The following is a 26,795-nucleotide window of genomic DNA, read 5'->3' as shown; positions in this document are numbered from 1 at the left end:
CCATCAACACCATTCAGCCTGCCCTACCTGCTTCAACTCCATGTTCTACTGTTACATATGCAATACCTTAGATGCCTTTTTCATAGTCGTGACGTGTCCCTGGCCCACTCCCAGTGTTTTCCTAGACAGTGGTGATGAGGTATGAATTCTCCAAGGTCCCAATAATCACCCCAGCTCGGCCACCCTCCACCCCTACAGGGATTTGCAAGCAGGCTTTTCACTTTAGACTTTTTAATATTTCATACAGCGATTATGGTGCATTCAGGAACCCAACCCCCCAAACCCACTAGGAGGGCTCCCACCCCTGCCCTCCCACCCCATTTCAGGGCCCCAGGGCTTAGGGTGGAGGAAGGGGAGGTAACCACCCATCCAGGGACTGACCCTGGAGACTGTCCCTGCCCTGCCTCACCCTCCCCAGGAGATAGGGGGCAACACCTGGGCACAACCCCTCACACCCCCCTCCCCCAACCCTGCTTGTGCACATATGCACATTATGGCTCCTCGCTGAGCTGGTCAGTTCCTGGCAGGGCCCCTACCCAACAGCACCGAGTGGGATGGGAGCAAGGGGACTGGGCTGGGGAGACCCTGAGAAGGAAGGAGGCCCCAGCTACGGGACTGCAGGAGAGAAAGAGTGGGGCCCCCCACCTTGTCCATTTCCCAGAGTCTCTGGTAGTCCCCAGATCCCCCTGCAACTGGGGATGGCGGGCGGGGGTAGGAAGGCGAGTGGCTGTGGCATGCTTTCCCATAGCCAATCCCAGGGTCTGGTGATGATCAGGGTTCCAAATAGGGGCTGTGTCCCTGTCTCTGAAAGGCTGGGAGCAGGGCTTCATTGCACAAAATACTGTGGGAGGGCCACACGCAGGGGGTGGGGCCCAGCCAGTCTGTATACAGAGATATTGCATTTAAAAAAAACAAAAATCTCATTTAAAATAATTAAAAAAAAAAAAACAATGAATGAAACAAACAAAAAAAGGCCCACACAATATGAGGCAGGTGGGGCAGGCAGGAAAGCAGGCAGAGGATGCCTCAGACTCAAGGCATTGTCACCATCTTGTCTGAGTCGAGATCCCCAGCCTGGGCTAGCTCTGGACCCCTGGCTGGCCGTGGGGTAGTGGTCCTGGGGGCTGGTATGATGGGGGGTAGACCTGGCCTCAGTGTGGGAGGCTGGCACGGCCATGCTGTCCACCGGCAACTACCAAGACAGAGACAGACAGACCAAGTGAAGGAGTGATGAGAGCTTTGTTAGCACCCAGCAGACAGGCCAATGGGTGGGTTGACAGGCCAATGGTGGGGTGTTTGGGCAGGCAGCAGGGGACAAGTGGGCAGGTGAACATGGCTCAGGCAGGTAGGCAGAGAGTAAGCAGGGAAGATGTAGTTGGGGGCTGCCCTGTGAGGGGTGTGGCATCCCTCCAGCCGCTGCCTGCTGGGGCCTCGGTCTGTGGCTTAGAACTCGGTGTCCACCACGCGGAAAGCTGGCCTGCCTGTGGGGGAAAGCAGAGCAGATGGCTGTTGGTGGGTAAGCAGGTAGGTGGGTGGGGCAGGGAGGAAGACAAGGGGCTATACCTACCTGAGTCAGGCATCGACGAAGACCGAAGGCTGGCCTCCTTTTGTAGCTGAATCTCCTTTAGTGCAAATATGGAAGTAGCTACAGATGGGGGAGACATAGAAGTGGGGGATGACCCATGAGGTCATCTAGGACCAGCCCCATATGACCCCATGGGAAGAATTAGAAAAAGCTGCCCCTTCTCTGAGAGGCTTGACCTTTATCTGTCAAACAATTCCATACACAAACCAGCTACAACCAGGGAAGATGAAATATAGACTATTACATGACACAAAGAAATCATTATTAACTTTGTCAAGTGAATTATGGTATTGCAATTACCACCTGTTAAGTCTAGGTGATGGGTGGTGTTTGGGGTTTGCTTTATATATTAATCCAGTGGGAAGATAGGGAAAGTGAGCAAATGTTTTTTGTAGGTTTGATAATAATATTGTTGTTTTAAAAAAATCTTTTATAGGTATATGCTGAAATTATTTAAGGATAAATGCTATGATGTCTGGGATTGGATGTGATTCAAAATAATCAGAGAGAATATAGATAAAACCAGATTGACCATGAATTGATGACTCACTGGAGTACTTAGGGACTCATCATATTACTTTGACTAATATATAAATACATATATTTGAAAATATCCATATTAAAAAGTTTTTAAAAGCCAGATATAAAAAGAACATCACATGTGATTCTATTTCTATAAAGTACAAGGACAGAAAAAACTTATCCTTGCTGTTAGAGGTCAAAACAGTGGCCACCCTTTGGGAAGGGGCTGGGAATAACTGAAGGAGATGCAAGGGAGCTGGGGGTGGGGAGCTTTTAACATTCTGTTTCTTGACTTTTGTGCTAGTTACAAGGATGTGTTTCATTTATGAAAATTCATTGTATAGTATACTTATGATTTGTGCATTTTTTAGCACATGTAAGGAAATGTCTACTTTAAAAAAAGTAAAGTGCTATTGCATATATTTTTATGTATGTTTTAAATTTTTCATGAAAGGTAAAAGGAACTGAAAACTAAAAAATGTTTTCATAACAAATACAACCCATCACACACGTGAACAAGATGTCCCCCCACGTAGAGGTGGCACAGCCAGAATCCTACACAACCCGCCAGCTGGCCCCAGCAGTCCTGTTTCCCAGTCCCCACGCTGGCCGGTCCATTCCCCAGCTCCACTCACTGTCAGGAAGTTTGTGGATCCGCTCCCCCAGACTGAGGAAGAATGGATGTTTCATGGCATCCTCTGCGGAGATCCGATTTCGACCCTCAAACTGAGTGGGGGTGCGGGGAGGGGGATAGTATTGATATCTTCAACAAGTAGGTCTCTCTGCCCACCTCAGACCCTGCCCCTGGTTTGAGGGGGGGGGTCCCTGTTTCCCCACACTTGGAATCCCATACCCCCAAGGCTGACCCAAGGTGGTCTCACCTGCAACAGCTTGGTGAGGAGGTCGGCCCCGTCGCTATCAAGTCTGCCACAAGGACAAAGAGACCTGATTTAAAATGAGTTTGGACACTCTGGCCCCTAACGCCCACCCACCCACCAGCCTCACCGGGGTGCGTGGCTCAAAAGGGCCTCGGCTCGGTACTTGGGGTAGTTGTATGTCTTGAACTCCTCGTTGGACAGGATGCCTGGCCACGTCTCCTCAGTTGGGGTTCCTAGTAGGGAAGAGGAGTTATCCCAAACATTTCACAGGTCCTCCCCGTGTGTCTCCACAGCGCCTAGGGCCCATGCCTCCTCACCTAAGATACGGAAGATGAAGTGTAGCTGTTCCTCCACCGTGGAGCCCGGAAAGAGGGGACGGCCTGTGGCCATCTCATAGAAGATGCAGCCCACACCCCTGGGCAGGGAGGGCACAGTGAATAGAAAGGCAGCTGGCTGGGTGGCTGTTGTGACCAAGCCACCCCCTTTACCACATGGCCCCTGCCACACTTCCACCTGTCCTTACCACATGTCAATCTGAGTGGAGTAGTCCGTGGACCCAAGCAGGATGTCAGGGGGCCGGTACCACAGTGTCACCACCTCATTGGAGTATGTCTTTGTTGGGATTGACTTGGCTCGGGCCAGGCCTGGAAATCAGAGAAAGGACAGCTAGAATGAGGGAGTCATGGGCAAAGTCTCGGGGAGAGTGCAGTTGAGACTGAGGGTGTCCTAGGCAAAATCTGGCAAGGCTGAAGGGAAGTGAGACTAAGTGGTCATGGGAAAGTAGGAGGCTGGGGAGCCAATAAGAAAGGGGAGGCCAGTGGTACCAAAGTCAGCCAGCTTGAGCTCTCCCCTCTCGTTGATGAGCAGGTTCTGGGGCTTGAGGTCTCGGTGTAGCACCTTCTGCCGGTGGCAGTAGGCCAGGCCACGGAGCAGCTGGAACAGGAACAGCTGGGGACCCAGGAATGGCAGGCAGAGGTCAAAGACTATCCACTAGCCCGACCCCCAGCAGGCACTGCTCCCCTCCCAAACACAGACACTAGGCCCAGAGCCTTGTCACACAAAAGAGGACAGGGTCCCAGTGCCCTCCAAGGGCTCCTAGCAAAAAAAGCCAAAGGGAAAAGTCCGTTTCTGGGAGATTTGTGGGTTGGAGTGGGTGAGTGGGGGCCCCCTTGTGCCCCTGCTTCCTGCCCCACACCCACTTTCACGTTGTGCATGTTGATGATGTTCCCACAGTCATCCAGGTACTGCTTCAGGTCCTTGTCCTGAGGAAAGAAGAGGTGGTACAGGAATGAGGGTTACTTCCTATGGCTCCTGGCCTTCTCCTCACCTCCCCCTGGGACCTACTGCCACTCAACCTTACCAGGTACTCAAAGACAAGGGTGAGGGACTTCTCCGTGTGGATAATGTCATGTAGCGTAACGATGTTGGCGTGTTTGAGGTCCTTGAGCAGGGACACTGCAGGAAGCATGGGAGTGGGACAGGGGAAGAGTCAGGGTCCTACCCTCAGGACAGAGGTGAGGACAAGGACTAGAAAGGGACAAGCCCAGGTTTTCTTTCTTTCTCTAGACAGTTCAGGGTAATGCCTCGGAGCCACCAGCTCTAACCCGCCTCATGCCAGAAGAAAGTTGTGTCTCCATGTTGCAGATGTGGAAAATAAGACTCAGAGGAGAGTATGGAGCAAGAACCTGGGATTGCAGCCCCAGGCTCATGTGACACTAGATTTTCACAACCTGTTTTTGGTTTCTGGGAAGGGGCCTGGCTCCAACCCTCAGTACATAGGCCTGCAGCATCGCGTGAAATCGAATTTGCACACTAAATTTCAGTGCAATTCAAATTCATTCCATGTGATATTCTGACTAGAAATTGTTACAGTAAATAAACTGGTGAGCACTTTCAGGGGTGTTCTCAGAACCAAACCCTGGTTTGCAATTCATCTACCTTTTATCCAAATGGGAACAGATTCCTGGTTACCCTGATTATTACCTGGATATGTGGGTGACAGGCATTCCCATGAAAGCCAGAGTGTTTTGGGGGGTCTTAGAACCAGTCTTTGTTCTCATTATGGAGTGTGTGCGCCAGGGGTGGGTTGGGGAAGCCTGGGGCAGATGGGATGGGGGTGTGTACCTTCCCGGATGGCGGTGCAGGGTGCCCCCTCTTCATGTTCCAGTCTGATCTCCTTGAGTGCCACAAGGTTGTCTGTGAGCTTGCTTTTGCCTTTGTAGACGGTGGCATAGGTACCCTGGAATGTGAGGAAGTGTGACAGGAGAGGTGCTATGAGATTCCAGGAGTTCCCACTGACCTTCATCCCCACCATGGGCCTCCTATTTGCCTCTCACCTCGCCCAGTTTGTCCAGCTTAATGTAGGTCTCCAGTTTCCCAAAGCCAATCTCAGACTGTGGGACAAATGAGGCAGGTTAAAGCTGGCTCAGGAGAAGGGTCTGGGAGAGAAGAAAAAGGAGAGGACGGGAACAGAAGGTGCTTACTAGGCTGACACGACGGAGGCGGCGGCTGAGGGGCTTGTCAAAGATGGGGCTATTGAGGGTCAGCTTCTCCAGGTAGCCCTCAGGCAGCCGGATGTCAGCTGGTAGTGATAGGCGCTTGTTGATGTCCTAGCAGGTAAGGCAAGAGAGAAACAGGATCATGAGCTCCACCTCCCCAGGTCCAACCCCCTTTTCCAGTTCCTCCACCATCCAGACGGGGTCAAGCACCTCAGTGGAGATCTTGCGTGGGGGATGGTTGCGCATACGCACTCTCACTGGAGACTGCACCTCATCCGAGGACGTGGCTGAAGCCTGGTCACTCTCCCCATCAGACCCCATCTTCAAGTCCTCGTGCACAATCTCTGGTGGCAGGGAGAGGGGTAGGGCAGGCCAGGTGGGGTCAGGAACCACAGGACACCCCATCCCCCACGAAACATATTCCATCATCACACATGTGTGCACGTGGCCCCCACAGGAAACCTGGAGTCCCTCGGGGAGAGGGTGATGTACCTGAGCCCAGGGAAGCTCAGGTACATCTAGGGCAGGTTGAACTGGGGGGTGGGGAAGCAAAAGTCACCTAGTGGAACCCTTCCTTCCAAGGGCAAGCTGAGCTCAGAGCCGGCAGCTAGGTGGTGGCAGGGGAAGCCAAGGGTCCTGGGAAGGCAGGCCCAGGGCAGGCAGGTACCAGAGGACTGAGGAGGCCATCATAGAGGGCAGAAGGGCAGAGGGAGCCTTGGGGCAGCTGTGACAGGCAAGGCACCTTCTGTCCCCCACCACGGGGCCTGGGCAGAAAGGCAAGAAGAGGAGCGCAGATGGACAGATAGACAGACGGTGTTGAGAGAAGATGGGAGGGAAGGGGGAGAAGAGAGCACATGGGGGGCAGAGAAAGGGCAGAAAATTTAGAGGAAAATGAGGAATGTGACCAGGAGGCAACACCTGGGAAGCAGCCTGGGGCCATATGGGAGAGGGGATAGCCAGTGGACCCACCTGGTGCAGAGCTGAGTGGGCCCCGTGCAGAACGAAGTTCCCCAGGAGCAGCACGTGTGGGGGCCTCTCCAGGGTCACTGCCGCCACCACCACCACTCTCATCCAGGCCTATCTGCTCAGGGGCACCATTGGTCTTGTCTATGCCTCGGCCACCTCGGAGTGTCATTGACAGCTGCCGTTTGATCTTCTTCATCCGATCCATGGCGATCTGAGCAAGGGACAAGGATGGAAATGGGTCTCTTATTAGCATTTGCTTGATCACCATGGGTTCCCTAAAGCCCACAGCCTAGCAGGGGGCACTGACATGAACTTGTCAGTGCTCACTCAACCACTATGGACCCCAGAGCCACTCAGGAGTTCTGGAAACCCAGCATGGATGGGGATCTTTGTCAGTACCTGCCCACCCACACAGCCAGCCCCACTGGGACCCTGCTCCTACGTAGCCCACCTGAGTTCTCAGATTTAGGTGGCTGATTGAGGGCAAGGGCCCTAACGATGGATTGTTGGGATCTAGGGGAAAAGCCCCACTGCAGGAGCAGAAGGCTCCATTGCAGATCTTCTCAGGTACAGCTGCAGTGATGGGCCCAGCCATGGGTCGGCCAGGGCGTGTGCCCAGAATTGAAGGATGGGTGACATGGTCTCGAGCACGGCCATAGAGTGGCATAGTTCCCCTAGCACCACCCTCAAAGGCCAAGGCAGACTATTCCCTGTGGCCACAGGGACCCTCTTCCTGACTTCTCTAGCACTCATCGTCATGACAACCACTGCATCATCCCATTCATCTACCCAGGTGGGGGGGGGGAGGGGAGCGTGTGTCAGGGTGTCCTGCCCAGACCCAACCACTGGGTGGGATTGTGTGGAGGGCGGGGGGGTCTCAGTGTACACCAGCTCTTCTCAGGGCTGCCAGAACGGTTTGATCAGGTTAGGACCCCTAGGGTCCAATCTAGACTTTTACAAGCCAAGTCACATTTCTCCTCTACTCAAGAATGTACATTTTTCATCACCCCAAATACACGCCCCAGTCCTCAATGTGGCCCACAGGTGTTTCTTTACCTCATTTGCCCCTATTGCCTCTTGCCCACGGCCCCCCCCCACCCCCACACCCCCCCGCCATCATTCCTAGTTGCTGTTCTGCAACCACACCCAGTAGAGTCCCACCTCGGGGCCTTTACACTGGCTGTTCCTGGTACCTGGAACACCCTTCCCCTAAATTTCGAAATGGCTCACTCCCCTCTCCCTTTGGGCCATTGCTCAAAGGTCACCTTTTTCATGAGGCCTCTGTGAATAACCCTATTTAAAATCTCAACCATCCCGAACTCCCTCACCTTGCCAGTTATCCCCCCAGCACTCATTACCTCCTCAGAAATGACACCACCTACTTATTGGTTTCTTTAGTCTTTACTGTCTATCTCCTCACCGCCACAACTAGAAGATCAGCTCCGCCAGGGTAGATTTCTGTGTTTAGGTCACGGCTATATCCTGAGGACCTGGAATAGTGACTGACACAGAGTAGATGCTCAAAAAGTGCTTATGGCAGAAATAAGTGAATCAGGGGGCTGAGGGCCTAGGACCAACCTCTGCTGAGGTGATGAGTCCCTGCTATTCATTGAACAACCCTAAACAAGGTAGCCCAGGGATGCTGGCATCGACAGGAAGATGACCTAGATGGATTGCTGAAGGGAATGGGGCCACCAAAAGGCTTAGGCCAGCCGTCTTCTGCTTCCTCTTGGGCTCTGGGCCAGCAAGGAGGGGGAAAGACCTGACCCAGGAACCATCTGGACTCACAGCAGGGCCTAAGATGGCCCTGGGCCCAAGGGAAGTAGAGCTAGATAGGAGGTCGAGGATGAGACTGGGGCTGGATTTGAGGAGAGAAATGGGTCATCTGCTACCTTGAAATCAGGTGCTTCCCCCAGCAGTTCTCGCCCCCACCTGGCTGAACTCACTATCCCCAGGAGGGGTAGGGGCCACCCTAGCAGAAAGACCTCAGATACAGGATGAGGTCCATCCATGGAGAACCCAGGATAACCACAAAACATCCTGACCTGGGAGGCTGAATACTGGGCCTAAGGCAAGGAAGGTAAAGCATGGCCAGCTCCCAAAGACAACCTTGTGTCCCCATATGGCACAGATACCCAGTTGCTTTGCATGTTGTGACAGGGAGTAGGGGAGGGGCTGGGGGAGACTGGAAGTAGGGCTGAATGGAGGATGGGGAGGAAGCCAGGAGGAGCCATGGGTCCACGACCTCTAACTGGAAACCCCAAGGGCTGGACATGCTCTGGAGTTCAGTTTTTTGGGATTTTAGGAAGATGGGGTGTAAAATCTGTATATCACATAACACTCCCAGAAAGGGGGATGGGGGTCTCAGACATGCCCCTGTGAACAGAGATAATTGAACATTTATACGCAAGGAAACTTTTAAATATCATTTCAGTTGAATGAGCTTTTTAGATTTCAAAAAAGGAGGGAGCAAGAAACTGGACATAAAACCTTACCCCAAAAAAGGCACATGTCCTGCCTGACCCTTCCTGATCCCCAAAGACATACACCCATCCTCAGACTACTCTCATACTCAAGGATACTCAACACACCAACCACTAAGGACTTGGTCATCGCACCCTATGTCCTGATCCCCATTAATACACGCTAGACCCTCAAGGAGGCCTCACTACATCTTACCTGCTATTATCTCATATACCCATCAGCATTCAAAGCCCTAACACATAACATACCGCCCTGAACTCTGTCAGCACACACTTAGCCTCCTCTAAGTAACTCTTGCCACCACATTCTTGGGCCCCTCCCTGGCCTAGCTGCTTGTTACCTTCTCCATAGTACTGACTCCCCTCATTAACGTACTGTTCCCCCTACATGATTCTGACCTCTATTAACATGCACTTGGGGTACTCTATAGCTGACCCACATTAGCACTCACTGGACCTTCTTCATGCTGCTCTGAATGCTATTAACATAAAGTGAACCTTACAGATAGATCTCTAACCAGTGTTACCCACACTCAGGCCCCTTCACAGCTACGACCATCCTTAACACACATTCCAGTCCTTCCACTGTCCTGTCCCCTCTGTCAGCACAAACTGAGTCTTCACTCAGGCCTGATTTCTATTAGCACACGCCGGGCCTCACACAGTCCTGCCTCCCCATTAGTGCACCCTGAACCCTTACTCAGCCCTATTCCGCAGGGACACACAAACACACTGTTCTACCATGGCCTGACCCTCATTAGTGCACACAGGTCTCATTCAGCCCTGACTCCCATTAGCACACACTTCAGCCCTCCCTAGCTGTAATCCACTTTAGCACACCGAGATCATCACACATTCCTGTCCTCTATTGCTCTCTGCTCAGAGATATCTCCACAGATATAATCCTTGTTGGTTCACACTTAGATCCCTTCATGAAAGCCCTGATCCCCCTTATTACACACTAGATCCCCTCCGCAGCCCTACCCCCGAGTAGCACCCCCTGGAACCTCAACATACTCTGGTCCTCCGCGGACACAAGGGCACAATCTTCACAAGGTTCTGATGCTTATTAGCATATTCCAGACTTCACACAGCTGACTCTCGAAATGGCACACATTGAAGTGCCTCTATGTCTCTAAACCCACATTAGCAACCACCAGTACTTCTATTACCCTGCTCCTTCCTAGTGTGCCCTCGAGACTCACATTCCCTGTGTCCATGGACACACTCACACCTCACATCACCTTTACCCTTCGTCCACTAAGCCTCTGACAGTGCTAAGACACTTCCCCACCACTCCTTCCTGGGCCCAGACAGACACGCAATTCTCATCTCCTTTAGGCCAGGCTCAGGTATTCCACAGTCCTTCCTCCGTTAGATACCCTCAGGTCCTTCCTCCACTCTGCCCTCATTAGCATATACTGGGTCCCAAACTACCTAGACCTTCGAGGCCACAGGCATACACCCTCTACAGCCATGACCCCCACTGGCGCACACACCACACTCGAGTCCTTCAGCTACCTGCCCTCCACAAGCACACACTGCATTCTCACACACTGCAGGCCCCACGGACAGACACGCAGTATTAACACCATCCAGGGCCTCATCGCCACGCACCAGGCCTCAGAGCCCTGACCCCACCAACACACGTTCTGGTACCTGTGCCACCCTGTCCCCCATGAACACACACCGGGCCTCTCTGCGGACATAATCCCTATGAGCATGTCTTAGAACTTCCTCGACACCCTACCCCCCGTTATACACCCTCGGGTCCCTCACCCGCTCCGCACCCCGCCCTCCTTCCACAAGCACACACGGGGCCTTGAACCTTACACGACTTATTGGCGTGAGGCTTACTGCCACATGCTCCGACCCCCATCAGCAACCCCCCCAAGTCTTTCACCCCATTGTCACCCATTTCCACACCCTTTGGTCCTTTGACTCCCCCAGGTCCCCATTAGCACCCACAGCACTACCCAACCCCAGCTCCCAGGACAGGCCCAGGGCGGGGCCAAGGTCAGGGAGGCCCCAAATGACCCCCCGCCCCGGTGCATTCTGGGAAATTCGCCGGGGGTGGGGGCACCTGCCAGCCCCGCAGCCCAGACCCCTGGGCACCGCCCGAGGTGGGTTCTGAAGGAGGAGGGGCAGCCTCCACGCCTCGGGGACGCGCTCACCGGCGGGGGCGCGCGAGCAACCTCAGAGCCGCGGGGCCGGCGCGGCGGCGCCTGGGGCGGCGGCCCGGGATGAGGCCGCGCGACCTCCTTCTCCTCCTGTTCGCCGCAGGCGCCCGTCCCAGTAGTCTTCAGCCATGGTTGCTGGGCCCGGGCCGCCGCCGGCTGAGGAGGAGGAGGCGGCGGCGGCGGCGGTGGCTGAGGCGGAGGCGGCGTCCCGCTCAGCCGGCCATGAGCTTGGCCGCTGCGGGCGATGCCCCCGGACTCGTTGGCGCCGGCTTGAATCCGAGTGCTCACGGCGGCTCGCGGCACAGAGCGGTCTGATCGCGGAGTGGCGGCGGATCCCAGGGCCGAACAGCCAACGGCCCAACCGCCGCGCGCGCCGCGCTCCGCGCATGCGCACGCAGGCGCTCGGAAGGGTGAAGTGGAAAGGAGGGGACTCACCTCGGACTGCATGTACCAAAGGACCCGTCCGCAGCGGGAGGGGACGCGGCCATCGCGAGCCCAGAGGAGGATGCGGCGCCAAGCCGGAGACGGCACCAGGGAGAACTGTGGAGGCTGTTTAGTACTCAGTTCCGATCTTGGCAGAAGTTTGCTAGCGCCTAGGTGAGCAGTGGCCAGTAACCTGGCGCGTCAATCACCACTCGTTCCCCCTACTCGGTCTCACTTGGTACATCCCCATGGTGGCAAACGGGACTTTTGCAAGGAGGAAAAAAGACAAATGAAGCACTCAGTTCTAGTCCCTTGAGGTGCTTGGGGAGGAAGGCATTTTAAAGGTTCGCGAGAAGATGACTTTTCGAGGAGAGGCAGCCTGAAGAGTTATTGGCCTTTACCACCTTAGCTAGGACGGCCTATCCCCGCCCAACTGCCCCCTCCACCGCTACCTCATTCCCGTAGTGAACGTGTGCAGCCCCGCCCTTTGAGGTTGTCGCCCAGCCAATCTGATTTGCTCTCTGTGGCGAGGCCGAGCAAGAATAAAGGGCGTGGCTGACTGAAGAGGCGTGATTTCGCTCTCTACCCGACTCCGCACGCCTCCGCCCAGGTTTCATAGGTTTTCACCGTCGGCGGGGGTGGGGTCTCCTTTTTGTTCTGAGCTCCTCCTTCGCTATAGGCCGAATATTCCGCAAGGTGATTGGTCATAATTGCGCTCAATCGAGTCTCGTCCCGCCTTTAGCCCGCCCTCCATCTCATACAGCGGGCCTCCCGGGGTGGAACCCAGGCTGAGAAAGAAGGAAAGAGGCGGATCCTTAGAGGCGCAGGAGCCGCTACTGCGCATGCTTGGAACTTCGAGCGGGGCGGAGCCTCTTTTCTGCCTCACACGAGTATTTGCATAGGCGCCGTGCGTTGGATTTTCCTGCCACCTCTCTTGCCCGGCACAGCCCCTCCCGTGCCTCCCCTCACTCTGAGGGTTTTTTGTTTTGTTTTGATGTCAGTCAACACAAGTAGAACACTCCGCGGTTTTATTTCCATTTTATTTATTGGGCGCATGTTGTGTGCCAAGTACTACCAGGCCGACCTAATCCTTCACTTCCTTCTGCCTGGAAAACCACACTATCCCCAAGTCCAGCTCAAAGGGCTGCAACCTCCAGCAGGCCTTCTGGCACATCCTTACACTACCCTGTTCCAAGGCAGCCTCCCCGCCTCTTCCGGGCTTCCCTTTATGGCAGCCTTGATCACAGCAGTTAGGATTTTCAGTAAGGTTTACATTAGTGAGATTTCCCGGGCCATGATGGGAGTGGAAATATTTGACAAAGATAAAAGTCCTCGCCTTGGCATAGAACAGGCTCATCACTTCTCTGACCTCATCTCTTCCTCTTCTTCCCCTGACTCACTGCCACCATACTAGCGCTCTTTCTAGCTGTTTGAGTGAAACGGGCACAATCCAGCCTCAGGGGTTTTGCATTTGCTGTGGTTCCCTTTGCCTGGAATGCTGCTGGCCCACATCCACGTGCCTCATTCTCTCACTTCTTCCAGGTGCTTGCTTCAAAGTCATCTCCATGAAGCCTTTCCGATTTAAAAATTCCTACCTGCACTGCCATCATTCCAGATCCCCAGATCGGGCTCTATTCCTCGCCTTTTGAAGAGCACTGATCAACTTCTAAGGTACAATTTGCTTACTGTGTTTATAATCTATTCTGGGTGTCAACCTAGCAGAACGTAAAACCCCAAGAGGACAGGGATCTTTGTTTTATCCACTGCTGTCTCACGTGCCTAGAAAGTGACTGGCACACAGCACACAACAAATGTTTGTTGAATGCCTGCCAGAGCAGGCCAAGAAAATAAAATGATCAGAAGGAGGTGGGCAAATAGTTCCAGGCAGTGACAAGAGAAACCTTTGTCCCACCCTATCCTTTGTGGCTGCTGGGTGCAGGGGGCTCGGTGCAATGACGCAACCCCCGCCTGCTAAGCCCTGATCTCCCATCTGGCTGGTGTTAACAATGGTAGACTGGTAGACAAACCGCAGAAGTAAAATGGAATGAGGTGGAGGGGGAACAACTAAGATGCAACCAGGATTCATGCATGACTCAAAAGCTTGTTTTGATGGAGAAGGGTGTCAGGCACGAATAAGGTGTCAAGGAGATCCAGGAGTTGTGGTGGGGAAGACATGGAGCCGTAATGGGGGAGGTGCAGTGAACAAGGTGTCTATAGAGTATCCGCAAAGGAGCTGGCATACTGGAGAAAGAAGACAACAGTTGTGTTCAAGCCTCAGCTGCTGTAGTGGTGTGGCCAGTGGACTGCGGTGTGGAGTGTCTAGGGTACTCTAGAGCAATAATGGGAAAGTTCCTGTGGTGGGAAAAACTTTCCCTTTGACAGTATCACCACTAGATACCAAAGGGAAAATGCCTCTGTCCTCAACGTCCTAGTGGGGAAGAAGAAACTGTGGAAGGATAAGGTCACCCAAGCAGAGCAGGCCAAGAAAATAAAATGATCAGAAGGAGGTGGACAAGGGCATATACTGTGCCCAGGACCAGGAACTACTGGCCCAGGAGGCAGCAGATGTGGGCACAGGCTGTGATGGGAATCAAGCCAGTTCAGAACAGGTTGAGCTATTCCTTACACTCAGGTTTGAGTAGAAGAGTGAGGGATCTTGTTTCTAAGTAAGGTAGATAAATTATTGGTTAGTTGAGGAACAGAAGTATGAATGGACTCCTCAGGCACCAGGAGCCAGTACAATAGAAGAAGGCAAAGATGTAGCAGTGGCCAGACTGGTGCTTTCAATTGTCTGGAGCACTCAGCCAAGACCAAGGACAGAGCACGGTAACTCTGCAGTCCCGGTGGGGCTGGTGTTAGGCCTCCTGCTACCTGCTCTAAGCGATGAACACCCCTCAGTCCCCACAGCCAGCTGTCTTCTCCAAAGTAGGAGGCTGAAGATCCTCAAGGGGAATACAGGCAGACCTGGGGCTGGGGCGGCGGCAGGGCCGGGGGAAGCGTAAGGCAAGCAACGGGCTTTTCCTCTACAGATGTTCTCAAGTATTTCCATAAAAATCACGAAGTATGCCTGCAGGCACTGGCATTCGGCAGAGCTGTTTAAGACACCCCTGCAGCAAGGAAATTGAACTAAGAGCAGCACAGGCATTCCTGGTGCTGGGAACCATGACCACAAAAGGCTGCCCAGGGTCTGAGTGCTTTGAGCCAGGTGGGAGGGGATCTGCCCTAAGGACATAAGGCACGCTGGCCATGCCCTAGCAGCCTGGTCACCGTAACTTTCCTCTTCACAGAGCAAGGAGTTAGGACATGGAGAAGGTGAGAATTGAACCCAGCTCAAATTAACAGTCACATGGACCCAAGTACCTGCTCACTATGGCCTCACTGGTGCCTCCATCTCTTCCTAGGCAGAGAGGGCAGGAAGAGGTGGCAATTACATTTTCTTTGTCCAGAAAACTGGCAGGTGTGGTGGGGTTGAGCCCTCTGAGTTATCATCTGAACCAGACAGCTCCAGGAAGTCCCTTCCTTCCCTGGAACCAGCAGGGCAGGCGATGTGGGAGTTATTAATTCTTTATTAGGATTCAGGTTTCAAACAAGGTAGAAGGCAGTGGCAAGAGGGGTTCAGGTAGGGGGATGATGAGGGAACACCAGACTTGGCTAGTTGGGCCACTGCCAGAAGCCAAATGGGAACCCTGGGCTGGAAGGGGTGTGGAGAGGGGTGGACAAGGGGCCAGCCTAGAGGAGCAGACGGGGTCAGCGGATGGTGTATCGGACATAGGGAACCTCGACATCCTCGCCGCTCTCGTCGTTACAGCACAGCTCAAGCACCAGCGCCCGCACGTGGCGGCCCAGCTTTCGCTTCGACACACGGCTCACAATCTCTGTCATCCTGGGGATAGGGGGATGGGAGTATAGGGTCAGGAGGGCAGAAAGCAAGAGAGGATGGGCAGGTAGGTAGGGGCAGTGAACTGGAGTGGGACAGCTGGATGATGAGGCTCCCCAACCCATACAGGGCCTCCCCTAGCCTGGCCAGTGTCCAACTCACGGCTGATCCAACCGTTCCTTGAGCTTGGCAGCTGGCATGAAGAAGGAATAGAGCATGGACACGCCCTGGGACAGCATGGTGATCTCTAATTTGTGCTCTGTCTGGAGAGGGAGGGGGAACAGCAGGGTCATGGAGGTGGACAGGCCAGCAAGTCACCGTGTACACCTCGCCCCCTGAGGTGGGGTGACAGAGTAAGGGAGGGGCCTTACCTTAAAATAGTCGAGGAACTGTTTGAGGGTCATCTCCTCACCATTAGGCTGCAGCCCTTGTACCTCAAAGCGATCCCACAATGTCCACTCTTGGTTATAGTACTGCAAGACAAAGAGGGGAGTGTAAGATGGAGACCATCCCAGAGGGTCCAGCCCCCATCTGTCTCCATCCCCCCTACCCCCATGCAGACGTGTTTAGTCAGATCACAACCCTCTTTTGTTCGAAATCCTCTTGTGGTTCCTATCTCACCCTAAGCAATGAAATTCTGTTTTCTTCTCATCTCCTACCCTCCTCAATCTCACACTCACTCTGGGGACTTTGAATTCCTCCAACTTGCCAGGCACACCCCTATCTTGGTACCCTTTCAAGAACTGGTCCCTCTGCCTGGAATGTGTCCCCACTCGCCACCAAGCCTGCACAGTTTGTCCCCTTACATCCTCCAAGTCTGATCTCAAATGTCATCTTTTCAGCAAGGCCTTTTCTGACCATCCTACACAAAATCTCAAATACATCCCCTCGCCCCCTGGTATTCTCAAGTCCTCTTTATCTTTTTTTTTTTTTGAGATGCAGTCTCGCTCTGTCACCCAGGCGGGAGTGCAATGGCGCCATCTTGGCTCACTGCAACCTCCGCCTCCCGGGTTCAAGTGATTCTCTTGCCTCAGCCTCCCGAGTAGCTGGGATTACAGGTGCCTACCACTACGCCTGGCTAATTTTTTGTATTTTTAGTAGAGACAGGGTTTCATCATGTTGGCCAGGCTGGTCTCAAACTCCTGACTTCAGGTGAACCACGTGCCTCGGCCTCCCAAAGTGCTGGGATTACAGGCGTAAGCCACCACGCCCGGCCTCTTTTTATCCTTTTTTGATTCCAAAATCATTTAATAGGTTATTTATATAATCTACTTGAGGAACATAACTTAGAAGAGTCCCTGCACACAAAAGGTGCTCAATAAATATTTGAGTGAATTCATTAATGAAGCAAGCAAAGCACTTAAGTGTAGGAAGCGTCCAATAAATTTTGGCTGCCATTATTGTGTAGTTACTAATAATCTCCCAGGGCACAATTCAAATATCCCATCTTTTCGCACGTACTCAAATAATGTGATTAATGAATAAGTGAAAAAGGATACACAAAAAGGGTAGGTACACAGACAGAAACCCTCACCTGGTGACAGGGTATGACGTGAATCAGAACCAGATCTACACAGATACACCCCACCCAAACCCTGCTTCGGATGCAGGCCCCCACCTGGTGACGTGGTGCGGCAAGGGGTTCAGAGAAACCAAAGAAAGGCAGGGCCAAGTTGAGGAAACCATTCTTGTAGGAGTCAAGCTGTCGGTGCCCCTGCACAACCTTGTACAGCTCCAGACACACAAGGCCAACCACGGCTGCTGTGGTCGTGGCAATGGCTGGGATGATCTTCCCTGCAATCAGCTTGCTCTGAGAGACAGAAGGGACAAAAGAAGGTGGTAGTTAAGTACAAGAGCCTCAGGGTCTACAGAGGGGCTAAGTGTGGGTAACTCAAACCTGGAGGAGGGTGGAACATCAGATTTAGATTCCCCTCACCTTGTGCCGGTCTGCAGAAGGAATGTCATAGTTTTCTGCCCGGAGGTTGGATGCAGCCACGATGAAATCCATATGAAAGTTGCTGTCATCATCCTGTTATGAGTGGGGAGGGTGTGAAGGCAGTGGGGAGAGGATCAGATAAAGAAGATGTGTATCCTCCACTGCAATTGCCTGCTGGACTCTCCCAGATCACAAAGGGATGGCTGGGAACACCTACTCATTCAGAGCCATATGGCAGGCCCACAATCTGATCCCCACAAAGGCCCGGGGCTGGCTCCAGATACTCCTGTTTTCTCCAGCCTGTCTATGCTTTGCCCATCCTCCTTCCCTGTCCTGAGCCCCACCCCATACCTTCTCAAAGTCAATGGGGTACATCTTGAATCCAGGGAGCTTGTCTGGGCTGGGCAGAGTGGCTTTGAGCTCCTCTAGACGACTGTCATCTGCATGAAGAAAGGGACACTGTCAGCCCTTTAGATCCCAGGCTAAGGTCTGAGATGGAAATGAGAGCCCAGGGTGGGGCAAAAGGTATTCAGGTACAAAAAGGATTTGGAAAGGAGAGACATCCTGGGAGAGAAAAGGGGCAAGGAGGAGAGGTAGAGCAGAGCAGAATACAAACCTGAAAAACACAGAGAAAGAGCTGAGGCTATCAAGAATGATCTCTCTAGAGACACTAAGGAACGGAAATGAAAATGTTAGGAGAAAGTGGAGATGGAGAGATCAAGATGGGAGACGTAAAGATCTTGGGAAGAATGATGTAGAGCAAGATGGGGGGAACACAGAGGATACAGGGAGGAAAAGGGGAGTAAAAAAGATATATGGAGGGGAAGTTGGGGGGAATACACAGATGTGGACATAGAGGAAAGATATGGGGGGAGATGGAGAAGATATAAAAGGGGGAGAGTGGGGGTATATACAGAGGGCGAGGCAGGTGGGAGGAGAAAGATGGAAGAAATATATGAAGGTGATGAGAGCTATGGAAGGAAAGATTGGAAGACATACATAAAGGAACATGAAGGAGTAGACATTTCAGAAGGAAGATGGGGACCATGGAAGGGGAAATGGGAGGAGATCTATGGAGAGGAAGACGGGGGAGATATAAGGAAGGTAAATGTAGGGGGCGTTACAGAGCTACAGAAGCATCATATACAGAAGGGAGGGGTGGTGAAAAAATATGCAGATGGGGTGGGGTGGGGGTGTCAGTAAACCGCAGCCCCAAACTATGGAGGGTGAAGATGCACAGAGAAACATGCAGGTAGATGTACAGATGGGGGCGGATCTGGAAGGAGACAAGGCAGGAAAGTATCAAGGGAGAGAGACTGCTGGTAGAGATCATACCTCCTAGATGAACAGATCAAGAAGAAACAGAAGAAAGAACAAAACTAAGGGAAATACACAGAGCAAGAGTAAAACAGCAAGTTCTCCTGAGGGCCAGATAGTGGGAAGGAGGAGGAGGGAGGGAGATAATTTGCCCCAACCTACCCTCTTCATGTCAAAGGGAGGCTCAAAGGAAGGTGTGGGTAAACCTCAGGCCTGGGGTCACAGAGCAGAGCAGAACCAGGGGTAGAGGACTGGTGGGGAGGCTGGACTAGGCCGGGGACATGTGGGGTGACTCCTGGCCAACTGGCCAAACACCCTCACCAACAGAGGCATTGGCGCTCTGCAGCTCCTGGTCAGAAACATGGATCTTGACGCCAGACTTGGGGGTGAATTCGGGGACCTGCACAGACTGCAGGAATGTGGCCACAGCAGCTCGGTCCTGAGAGCCTGTCAGCCCGTAGGTCTGGGCAAACAGGTTGGCAGCAGCCATCACATAGTCCAGATGCAGGGGCTAGGAGAAGGCAGGGCAGGGAAGGGTGAGCACATCAGCCCTCGAGTGGGGAGCCGCCACCTCCTTCCCACCTATTCACCCTCCACCTGACCCCAGAAGACCCTAGAAAGGAGACTTACATTGTTGACATCAAAGGTGAGCGGGTGTGGACAGCGTTTGGGCCCAGACCAGAACGGCGCTCCTGAGCTTGTGAGCTAAGGGATGGAGAGATTTTTGAGAACAGGACCTGAGAGTGAAGGCCTCTCTGACAATCTTCACGCTTCACCTAGGCCCCAGATGTGCCCCCAATTCACTATCTTGGGTTGGGCACTCGATGCGGACTGGAGCCAATCACAAAATACCTCAACTGTAGGGTCCCACAGGTTGAACCAGAGATCTGGCTGAGAGAACAATTACCAATCACTGGGTAGCCATTTTGTGCTAAACAGCCCATCATTTAACAAACTCTCATGGATTACCAGGCATTGTACTAACTTCATTTTAATAAATACCAGTTAATCCTCCCCAAACCCCCCATGAGATAGATCACTATTATTTCTACTTCACAGACGAGGAAACTGAGGTACAGAGAGAAGTTACGTGATTTGCCTAAGTTCAAGTAGAGTTTGGATTTGAACCCATATTGATTCCTGTGCTCTTAACTCCAGAATTTCTCCCCCATAATCCCTACAGCCCTGACTGGGAATCAGGTATGACGCAGCCCACACCACAGTCAAGGGCAATAGCAACCAAGCCTCTTTGCTCAAAGGAACTAGGGTGAGGAAAAAGCAGGTCAGGATCAATCACTCTTCTCAGATCCCCATGCCTCAGGGCACCTGCCACAGCTGGACTCCACAGTGGGAGGACCCACACTGCAGGCTCCCATTTCAGGGAAACACATTCTGCCAAATGGACCCAACAACTGGGCATTACCTGGTCAGGAGGGAAGTTGTGCAGCAGCTGCCGGATGTTGTTCGAGTACTGGGTGTGCCAGTGGTGGCAGGCCCAGGTCACGCAGTCAGCCCAGGTCTGTGGTCGCTGCAGCACCAGGCTGCGCTGCACAGCCTCCAGCACCTCCAAGGGCTGAGTGCCTGCCAGCCGCAGTGTTCGCTCCACAAACTTGGGGTCTCTATCAGGAATCGAAGAGGACAGAGGATAGGATTACATGTCAGCCTCAAGAGTGGGCTCCAGAGCAATCTTACTTTCTCCATGGAAAACTAGTCCCGACCCCAAACAACATGAGGCCCCAACAGCCACTCATTCATGTGAAAAGTGTGCCTGGTGCCAAGTGTTACTGTCATGAGGAAAGCAGCCGGGATGCCTTGGCTGGTGGACAGGGACAGGGCGAGAGGGCACTCGAGTTACTCACGTGAGGTACTGGTTGACATTTTCTGCTGGCTGCTTGAAGAGGCCTTCAAACTCATCCCGAGCCCACTGCAGACAGAGCAAACAGATTACATGTGGCCACAGTTGACAAAATGGGTTTCCGCAGGCATTATTAGAAGGACCATCAGTGAATAAAGCAAGTACAAGGCGCACAGCTACTCTGGAAGTGGGGAAGCCCTCTAGCCTTCCCCATTCCCCCACCTCAATTGAAAAACCAGGCCAGGCACAGTAGCTCACACCTGTAATCCCAGCACTTTGGGAGGCTAAGGCAGATGGATCACCTGAGGTCAAGGGTTCGAGACCAGCCTGACCAACATGGTGAAACCCCATCTCTACTAAAAATACAAAAAGTAGCTGGGCGTGGTGGCAGATGCCTGTAATCCCAGCTACTCAGGAGGCTGAGGCAGGAAATCTCTTGAACCCGGGAGGCGGAGGTTGCAGTGAGCCGAGATCATGCCATTGCACTCCAGCCTGGGTGACAGAGGAAGACTGTCTCAAAAAAAGAAAAATCAATGAAGTTGATTTGGGCAGTGGTTACAATAGTGCTGTGTATGTGGAAAACTGTTTTGTTTTGTTGTTTGAGACAAAGTCTCACACTGTCACCCGAGCTGGAGTGCAGCGATGCAATCACGGCTCACAGCAGCCTTGACCTCCCAGGTTGAAACGATCCTCCCACCTCAGCCTCCCGAATAGCTGGGACAGCAGGCACATGCCACCACACCCGGCTAATTTTTAAGATTTGTTGTAGAGACAGGGTCTTGCTATGTTGCCTAGGCTGGTCTTGAACTCCTGGGCTCAAACAAACCTCACTCCTTGGCCTCCTGAGTGCTGAGATTATAGGTGTCAGCCGCCATGCCCAGCCTAAAAATGTATTAAGATCTGAGTGCCAGGCGAGGTGGCTCACGCCTGTATTCCCAGCACTTTGGAAGGCTGAGGCAGGAGAATCGCTTGAACCTGGGAGGCGGAGGCTGCAGTGAGCCGAGACTGCGCCACTGCACTCCAACCTGGGCAACATGAGCAAAACTCCACCTCAAAAAAAAAAAAAAAAAAATCTGTGTACCTTATTCTAGATATGTTATGCCTCCATAAAAAATAAAAACTTCAATTAGGTATATCTTACCACAGTTTTTTAAAACACAAAAAACTCAGACCAAACCAACAATGATCCCTATCCAGGCCCTGAGGACTTGGCAGAAAACAAGACAGAGGCCGGACACAGAGGCTTACACATGTAATCCCAGCACTTTTGGAGGCTGAGGCAGGTGGATCACTTGAGCCCAGGAGTTTACAACCAGCCTGGTCAACGTAACGGGCACGCGTGCGTGCGCACACACACACACACACACGTACACACACTTACACGTACACACAGACACTTACACACACACACACACACACGTACAGACACTTCCCAGGAGTTGGAAGGTTGCAGTGAGCTATGATTGTGCCAATACACTTCAGCCTGAATGGCAGAATGAGACCTGTCTCAAAAAATAAAATAGCAAACAAGACAGAACTTCTGGCCTCTGAGAATTCCTAGGACAGTTCGCAGTCATTAGCGAGGTGGTTTGGAGTGTACAGATGTTAGAAATTCAGGTTCAGATTCCAGCTATGCCACGTATTACCTAGTTTTGTGACTTCAGGCACACAGGATAACATCTTTACCTCTGTGCCTTGTCTCTAAAACAGGTGTTACAACAGTGATACCTACCTTCATGGGGTTGCTAGGAAGAAATGAGCAAATACATATATATTTAAAGCTTGGTTAAAACAGTGCCAGGCACACAGTAAATGCCAAGTGGTTCACAATAGTCCTGTGAGGTAGATGCTGTCATTCCCATTTTACAGAACAGGAATCTGCGGCACAGAGAGGTTAAGTTCAAGGTTACACATGACCTAGCAAGACTGTGGTTGGTGCACAAATACAAACATACCCACTCTGGAACTGCAGTGTCAGAAGGGAGAAAGTGACAGATGGAACTGTTTTTTTTTTCCCTTCCCTATTTTGTTCCCACCCTCATACTCCTACTATTCTAAATGGTTTGGCCTCAAACACTGCACTAAGAATTATTCTGACAGCACAATGGTAATCCCTAGGTTCTGTTTCTTGGCCCAGGTGGTGGTCACCTGTGTGTTCACTTTGTAAAACTTCAGCTAGATCAAGCTTGTCTAACCTGTGGCCCATATGCAGCCCAGGATGACTTTGAATGCTGCCCAACACAAATTTGTAAATTTTCTTAAGACATTATGAGATTTATGCACGGATCTTTTTTTCTTTTATTTTTTCAGCTCATCAGCTATCGTTAGTATTAGTATATTTTATGTGTGGCCCGAGACAATTCTTCTTCCAATGTGGCCCAGGGAAGCCAAATGATTGGACACCCCGAGCTAGATAATATATGCACTGTTCTGTAGATAAATGCACCATACACACAGAATCATCCTGACAAACCAGCTGTTAAACTCATTTTGAGTAACAGCTGGGGAAAACCTGAATATGGACCATTAGAGACAAATAAATAACTAGAAGAGATGGTAAGAATGATTGTTAATTTTGCTGAGCATGAAAATGATGTTTCTGTTAGACAGAAGTAGTTCTCAACTGGGAGTGATGTGGCACCCCTGGGGACATCTGGCAATGTCTGGAGACATTTTGAGATGTCATGATGGAGGGAGAGTGCTATTGGCATCTAGTGGGCAGAAGTCAGGAATGCTGAGAAACATCCTACAGTGCACAGGGCATCCCCTCTCCCATGACAAATAAATAACCAGCCCCAAATGTCAGTAGTGCTGAAGCTAAGAAACCCTGTTCTACAGCAACATATCCTCACTTGGCAGAGGCACTGAAATAGTAGGGAGTAAAGGGCTGTGATGTCTGTGACACATTTAAGCACAAAGAAGAAAAATCTACATAAATCTAAGAAGAAAATGTGGCAAAACATTAAGAATTGTTAAATTTAGGTGAGGAATGGTATTTGAGTATTCATCATAATATTCTTAATATTTGTCTATGTGTTGAAAAAAAAATCAAAATAAAAGTGAAAAAAGAATGAGTCATTCTAGAAACCTAGGCTGCCTGGTGGGAAGTGAGGGAGGGAGGTTTGGAGAAAAGGCACATCTTACACTTAGGCATGCAACATCTGAAGGCAAGGCAAGGGCCTGGGGGCGGAGAGGCAGCAGCCTGGCCAGATGCCTGGCCTCTTTCCCTTCTCCCACAGCTTATCACCTGCAGGGTGTGCTCGATGGCATTAGGGAAGTTCTTCAGGGTACAGATGGGGATGGACTTCTCAGGTGGGTCCTGGCTGGAACTGTACGACTCTGTCAGGAAGGGGATCACCACCTGCACATTGCCTTTGGTGCCCAGTGTGCCTGACTCCAGCAGTGGCTTCCGGTAGTAGACACAGCGGCGGTCCATGTACATGCCTGTGGGGAGCACAAAGCGAGAGCTAGGAAAGAAACATCAGGAGAGGACAGAAAGACGGACACCCCTCTTGGTATATACACACCGAAACACACACAACTTTGCCCGTGACCACCTCACCCGCCTCCAAACTCACGGGCATCCACGTTGTCCAGGGCATTGGCCACGCCATCTAGGTTTTGGAAAAAATCGTCATCATAGATGCGCTCCGTGTCAGGACCCACACGGTTCTGGTGGCTTGTCACCCGGATATGTGGATTCATTTGGCGCACAGCTGCAGCAGCCGTGTCAGACTTTAACTTCTAAAGGGTTAAGAAAGTGCAGTTCCAGGGTGGGGATGGGGGAACAAAGCTCACTTATTTGTGCATTCACCCAACAAACATCTTTATTTTTTTTGAGACAGGGTCTCTCTCCATCACACAGGCTGGAATGCAGTGGCATGATCACGGCTCACTGCAGCCTCAACTTCCCAGGCTCCAGCGATCCTCCCACCTCAGCCTCCCGAGTAGCTGGGACCACAGGTGTGTGCCACCATGCGTGGCTAATTTTTGTATTTTTGGTAGAGACAGGGTTTTGTCATGCTGCCCAGGCTGGTCTTGAACTCCTGAGCTCAAAGACCTCGGCCCCACAAAGAGCTGGGATTACAGGCGTGAGCCACCGCACCTGGCCCAAACACCTATAAAGGGCTGTCTGCCTGAGACTGATTTACTTAATGCTGGGGAAGACCCAGGCCCTGAGTTAGGAGGCTAGCAGGAGAGACGGTCTGTGACAATGCCACATGGCCAGGATGATGATGCATGTGGCAGGGGCTCAGCATAAAGGGAAGCTGTGGACAGGAACAGACTGGAGACAATGGGCCAGACATCTGTTCTTTCGTCTAACACCTGCTATTTTTTCAGGTAACAGCACCCAGGATTGATGCAGACTCCCCCAACCACCACCAGGATGCTGGCACACAGACAAGCAGGATCCTTTCAAAGCCCAAATTGGGCCACGTCCCTCCTCTGCTCAGAATCCTCCCCTGGATCCCACCTCCACTTACCGTAAAATGAGTTGGCTCCCTGACCCCTCCCACCTCAGGATCTTTGCGCAGGCTCTTCCACAGCAGAGGGCACTCTAGTCCCTCATATCCTTGAGGTCTTTGCAGAACTCAGGCCTTCCTTAACCATTGTCATCAATACTACAAACCATTCTCCCTGACACCCCGACTTCCCTTGTCTGGTTTTAGTTGTTTCCTTTGAGGAGCACTCATCACCAACATTAACTATATACCTCACGATCGTATTGTGTCTATTGTTTGCTGTCCGTTCCCCTCTCCCTCCAGGAATCTTGTTTTATTCCTTGGTATATCCCCAATACCTAAAACAGTACTAAAACTATCTGGTGAATAAATGAAATAAATGAAAGGGGGAATAAATCCTGGGTAAGCAAAAACGACACTGCTCCTTACAGAAAGCTTCTCAGAGAACCCTGCATAACCAACCCAGTTTCCATATGTGCAGAGAAGTGTAAGCCTAGGAGACTGAAACTACAACCCTTGGAAAGGCCTGCTTCCAAGGTCGGCTCCTTGGCTGGTGTCTGGGAACTTGGAATTCAGGAAGGTTCCCACCGCTCCCTACCTGGTATCAGTGGTTCACTGTGCCTAAACCGTTCATGCAAACAATACAGTTTACGCTGAACACCTTTCCTTCTGGGAGTCTGGAAATTTTGTTATGTGCCAGGAAGGGGGCGCCTACATGACCAGCCCCAAGTAAAAGAGGTGGTGCTGAGTCTAACAAGCTTCCCTGGTTGGCAACATTTCATGTCTTGTTACACCTTGTTGCTGTTATTTCTGTAGTTACTGTTGCTACTGGGGAAATAAAGGCCGCCTTGTTTAACTCCCGCTGGGAGAAGACTCCTAGAAACTTGCACCAGCCTTTTCCCTTTGCTGATTTTGGTCTGTATCCTTTTGCTGTAATAAATTGTAGCCACAAGCACGACTATATGCTGAGTCCTGTAAGTACTCTAGGTGAATTGAGCTTGAGAGTAGTTTTGAGGACCCCAGACACACTGTCCCAACCAGCACTAAAAAGAGGTTAAGGCAAAAAAAAAAAAAAAAAAAAAAAAAAAACAGAAGCTGAGGGAAAGAAAGGCCAAAAAGAAGGGCTTCTGGCAGAGGCAGAAAGATCTCTGACAGAAAGAATGGGAACAAGAAAAAGGAGGGGTGAGGTGTGGTGGCTCACGCCTGTAATACCAACACTTTGGGAGGCTGAAGCAGGCAGATCACCTGAGGTCGGGAATTCGAGACCAGCCTGACCAACATGGAGAAACCCTGTCTCTACTTAAAATGCAAAATCAGCCGGGCGTGGTGGCGCATGCCTGTAGTCCCAGCTACTCAGGAGGCTGAGGCAGGAGAATCGCTTGAACCCAGGAGGCAGAGGTTGTGGTGGGCCAGAGATCACGCCACTGCACTACAGCCTGGGCAACAAGAGCGAAACTCCGTCTCAAAAAAAAAAAAAAAAAGAAAAAGGAGGAAAGTGAGACGACAAAGCCCCAACCTCCTACCCTACTCACCGTGACATCCCAGGGCCGGAAAAGAAACTGTCGATTCAGATTTGACTTCTCAATGGTGTCCATGTCTGTAACGATGATTTCTCCACCCTCCCCGCAGCCCAGCCCAATCATGGCAAAGTTCTTGAGCAGCTCACAGCCAATGGCCCCCGCACCCACCTAAGAAGCAACCAAGAAGACAGGCAGAGGCTGGTCAGGGTGATGCAGGTTAGTGTGAAGCTACCCATCACCCCTCACTCCCCTGAGAGACGGGGAGAGGGGCTAACACCACATCTTCAGGTTG

General features: G+C 51.9%; 2 protein-coding genes and 2 long non-coding RNA genes across 31 annotated transcripts in view, besides 9 other annotated features; 1 reads left to right on the top strand and 3 right to left on the bottom strand.

The window, feature by feature from the left end:
* On the bottom strand, positions 215-11,909 carry CDK16 (cyclin dependent kinase 16). 14 transcript variants are annotated; one of them, NM_001440783.1, is made up of 17 exons: positions 11,548-11,909; positions 7,870-7,951; positions 6,453-6,660; positions 5,694-5,827; positions 5,469-5,594; positions 5,322-5,378; positions 5,110-5,224; positions 4,346-4,440; positions 4,185-4,247; positions 3,810-3,933; positions 3,509-3,629; positions 3,303-3,400; positions 3,113-3,218; positions 2,989-3,031; positions 2,743-2,833; positions 1,568-1,645; positions 215-1,481 (listed from the first exon to the last, which is right to left on the bottom strand). In NM_001440783.1, the coding sequence occupies exons 1-17, from the start codon at positions 11,598-11,600 to the stop codon at positions 1,444-1,446; spliced, it is 1,632 nt and encodes a 543-aa protein (NP_001427712.1). In that variant the 5' UTR covers positions 11,601-11,909; the 3' UTR covers positions 215-1,443. The 14 variants fall into 14 exon arrangements, with proteins under 14 accessions (NP_001427712.1, XP_011542223.1, NP_001427713.1 ...); XM_011543921.2 differs by having other exon boundaries at positions 215-1,192; NM_001440784.1 differs by having other exon boundaries at positions 7,870-7,939.
* Positions 822-1,322: an enhancer, noted in NCBI's record as "H3K4me1 hESC enhancer chrX:47088289-47088789 (GRCh37/hg19 assembly coordinates)". NCBI's record gives its function as "activates a minimal SCP1, AML or CMV promoter by ChIP-STARR-seq in primed H9 embryonic stem cells {active_cell/tissue: H9 hESC(primed)}" and the evidence as "EXISTENCE:reporter gene assay evidence [ECO:0000049][PMID:30033119]".
* Positions 1,323-1,823: an enhancer, noted in NCBI's record as "H3K4me1 hESC enhancer chrX:47087788-47088288 (GRCh37/hg19 assembly coordinates)". NCBI's record gives its function as "activates a minimal SCP1, AML or CMV promoter by ChIP-STARR-seq in primed H9 embryonic stem cells {active_cell/tissue: H9 hESC(primed)}" and the evidence as "EXISTENCE:reporter gene assay evidence [ECO:0000049][PMID:30033119]".
* Positions 10,805-11,444: an enhancer, noted in NCBI's record as "NANOG-H3K27ac-H3K4me1 hESC enhancer chrX:47078167-47078806 (GRCh37/hg19 assembly coordinates)". NCBI's record gives its function as "activates a minimal SCP1, AML or CMV promoter by ChIP-STARR-seq in naive H9 embryonic stem cells {active_cell/tissue: H9 hESC(naive)}" and the evidence as "EXISTENCE:reporter gene assay evidence [ECO:0000049][PMID:30033119]".
* Positions 11,018-11,087: a silencer, noted in NCBI's record as "silent region_20802". NCBI's record gives its function as "represses an Ori minimal core promoter by ATAC-STARR-seq in GM12878 lymphoblastoid cells {active_cell/tissue: GM12878}" and the evidence as "EXISTENCE:reporter gene assay evidence [ECO:0000049][PMID:35858748]".
* Positions 11,098-11,207: a silencer, noted in NCBI's record as "silent region_20801". NCBI's record gives its function as "represses an Ori minimal core promoter by ATAC-STARR-seq in GM12878 lymphoblastoid cells {active_cell/tissue: GM12878}" and the evidence as "EXISTENCE:reporter gene assay evidence [ECO:0000049][PMID:35858748]".
* Positions 11,228-11,387: a silencer, noted in NCBI's record as "silent region_20800". NCBI's record gives its function as "represses an Ori minimal core promoter by ATAC-STARR-seq in GM12878 lymphoblastoid cells {active_cell/tissue: GM12878}" and the evidence as "EXISTENCE:reporter gene assay evidence [ECO:0000049][PMID:35858748]".
* LOC105373194 (uncharacterized) lies at positions 11,562-25,944 on the top strand. Its single transcript, XR_949047.4, has 3 exons — positions 11,562-11,709; positions 13,078-13,206; positions 24,862-25,944. It is a non-coding gene; the product is annotated as an uncharacterized LOC105373194 (long non-coding RNA).
* Positions 11,588-11,657: an enhancer, noted in NCBI's record as "active region_29587". NCBI's record gives its function as "activates an Ori minimal core promoter by ATAC-STARR-seq in GM12878 lymphoblastoid cells {active_cell/tissue: GM12878}" and the evidence as "EXISTENCE:reporter gene assay evidence [ECO:0000049][PMID:35858748]".
* Positions 11,778-11,897: an enhancer, noted in NCBI's record as "active region_29586". NCBI's record gives its function as "activates an Ori minimal core promoter by ATAC-STARR-seq in GM12878 lymphoblastoid cells {active_cell/tissue: GM12878}" and the evidence as "EXISTENCE:reporter gene assay evidence [ECO:0000049][PMID:35858748]".
* Positions 12,088-12,197: a silencer, noted in NCBI's record as "silent region_20799". NCBI's record gives its function as "represses an Ori minimal core promoter by ATAC-STARR-seq in GM12878 lymphoblastoid cells {active_cell/tissue: GM12878}" and the evidence as "EXISTENCE:reporter gene assay evidence [ECO:0000049][PMID:35858748]".
* The window catches only part of UBA1 (ubiquitin like modifier activating enzyme 1), a 24,282-nt gene continuing 12,570 nt past the window's right edge, over positions 15,084-26,795 (bottom strand). For all 15 annotated transcript variants that reach the window (NM_153280.3, XM_047442425.1, XM_017029777.2 and 12 more), the window contains 13 exons: positions 26,516-26,671; positions 24,099-24,264; positions 23,768-23,964; positions 20,525-20,589; positions 20,089-20,284; positions 19,296-19,370; positions 18,987-19,176; positions 17,700-17,788; positions 17,349-17,441; positions 17,031-17,222; positions 15,784-15,885; positions 15,575-15,675; positions 15,084-15,418 (listed from right to left, as the gene is read on the bottom strand). In NM_153280.3, the coding sequence (NP_695012.1) occupies positions 15,283-15,418; positions 15,575-15,675; positions 15,784-15,885; positions 17,031-17,222; positions 17,349-17,441; positions 17,700-17,788; positions 18,987-19,176; positions 19,296-19,370; positions 20,089-20,284; positions 20,525-20,589; positions 23,768-23,964; positions 24,099-24,264; positions 26,516-26,671 (1,758 nt within the window). In that variant the 3' untranslated portion in view covers positions 15,084-15,282. The remainder of the gene's footprint in view (positions 15,419-15,574; positions 15,676-15,783; positions 15,886-17,030; positions 17,223-17,348; positions 17,442-17,699; positions 17,789-18,986; positions 19,177-19,295; positions 19,371-20,088; positions 20,285-20,524; positions 20,590-23,767; positions 23,965-24,098; positions 24,265-26,515; positions 26,672-26,795) is intronic.
* Positions 24,351-25,364, bottom strand: INE1 (inactivation escape 1). Its single transcript, NR_024616.1, has one exon. It is a non-coding gene; the product is annotated as an inactivation escape 1 (long non-coding RNA).

The sequence above is a fragment of the Homo sapiens genome, chromosome X (genome assembly GCF_000001405.40).
Source record: "Homo sapiens chromosome X, GRCh38.p14 Primary Assembly".
NCBI lineage: Eukaryota > Metazoa > Chordata > Mammalia > Primates > Hominidae > Homo > Homo sapiens.
The sequence above is the reverse complement of the archived record's forward strand: the minus strand, read 5'-3'. Positions and strand labels throughout refer to the sequence as shown.

What these genes read in the sequence shown, in the direction of transcription:
- CDK16 (XM_011543920.4), bottom strand. Translation starts at nt 7,116, where the DNA reads ATGCCACTCTATGGCCGTGCTCGAGACCATGTCACCCATCCTTCAATT. An exon ending in CCCACTCAGCTCTGCACCAG is followed by an intron (nt 5,828 to 6,452) that starts GTGGGTCCACTG and finishes CCCTGCCACCAG; the next exon opens with AGATTGTGCACGAGGACTTG. An exon ending in GCTCAAGCTGGCTGACTTTG is followed by an intron (nt 3,630 to 3,809) that starts GTACCACTGGCC and finishes TCTGATTTCCAG; the next exon opens with GCCTGGCCCGAGCCAAGTCA.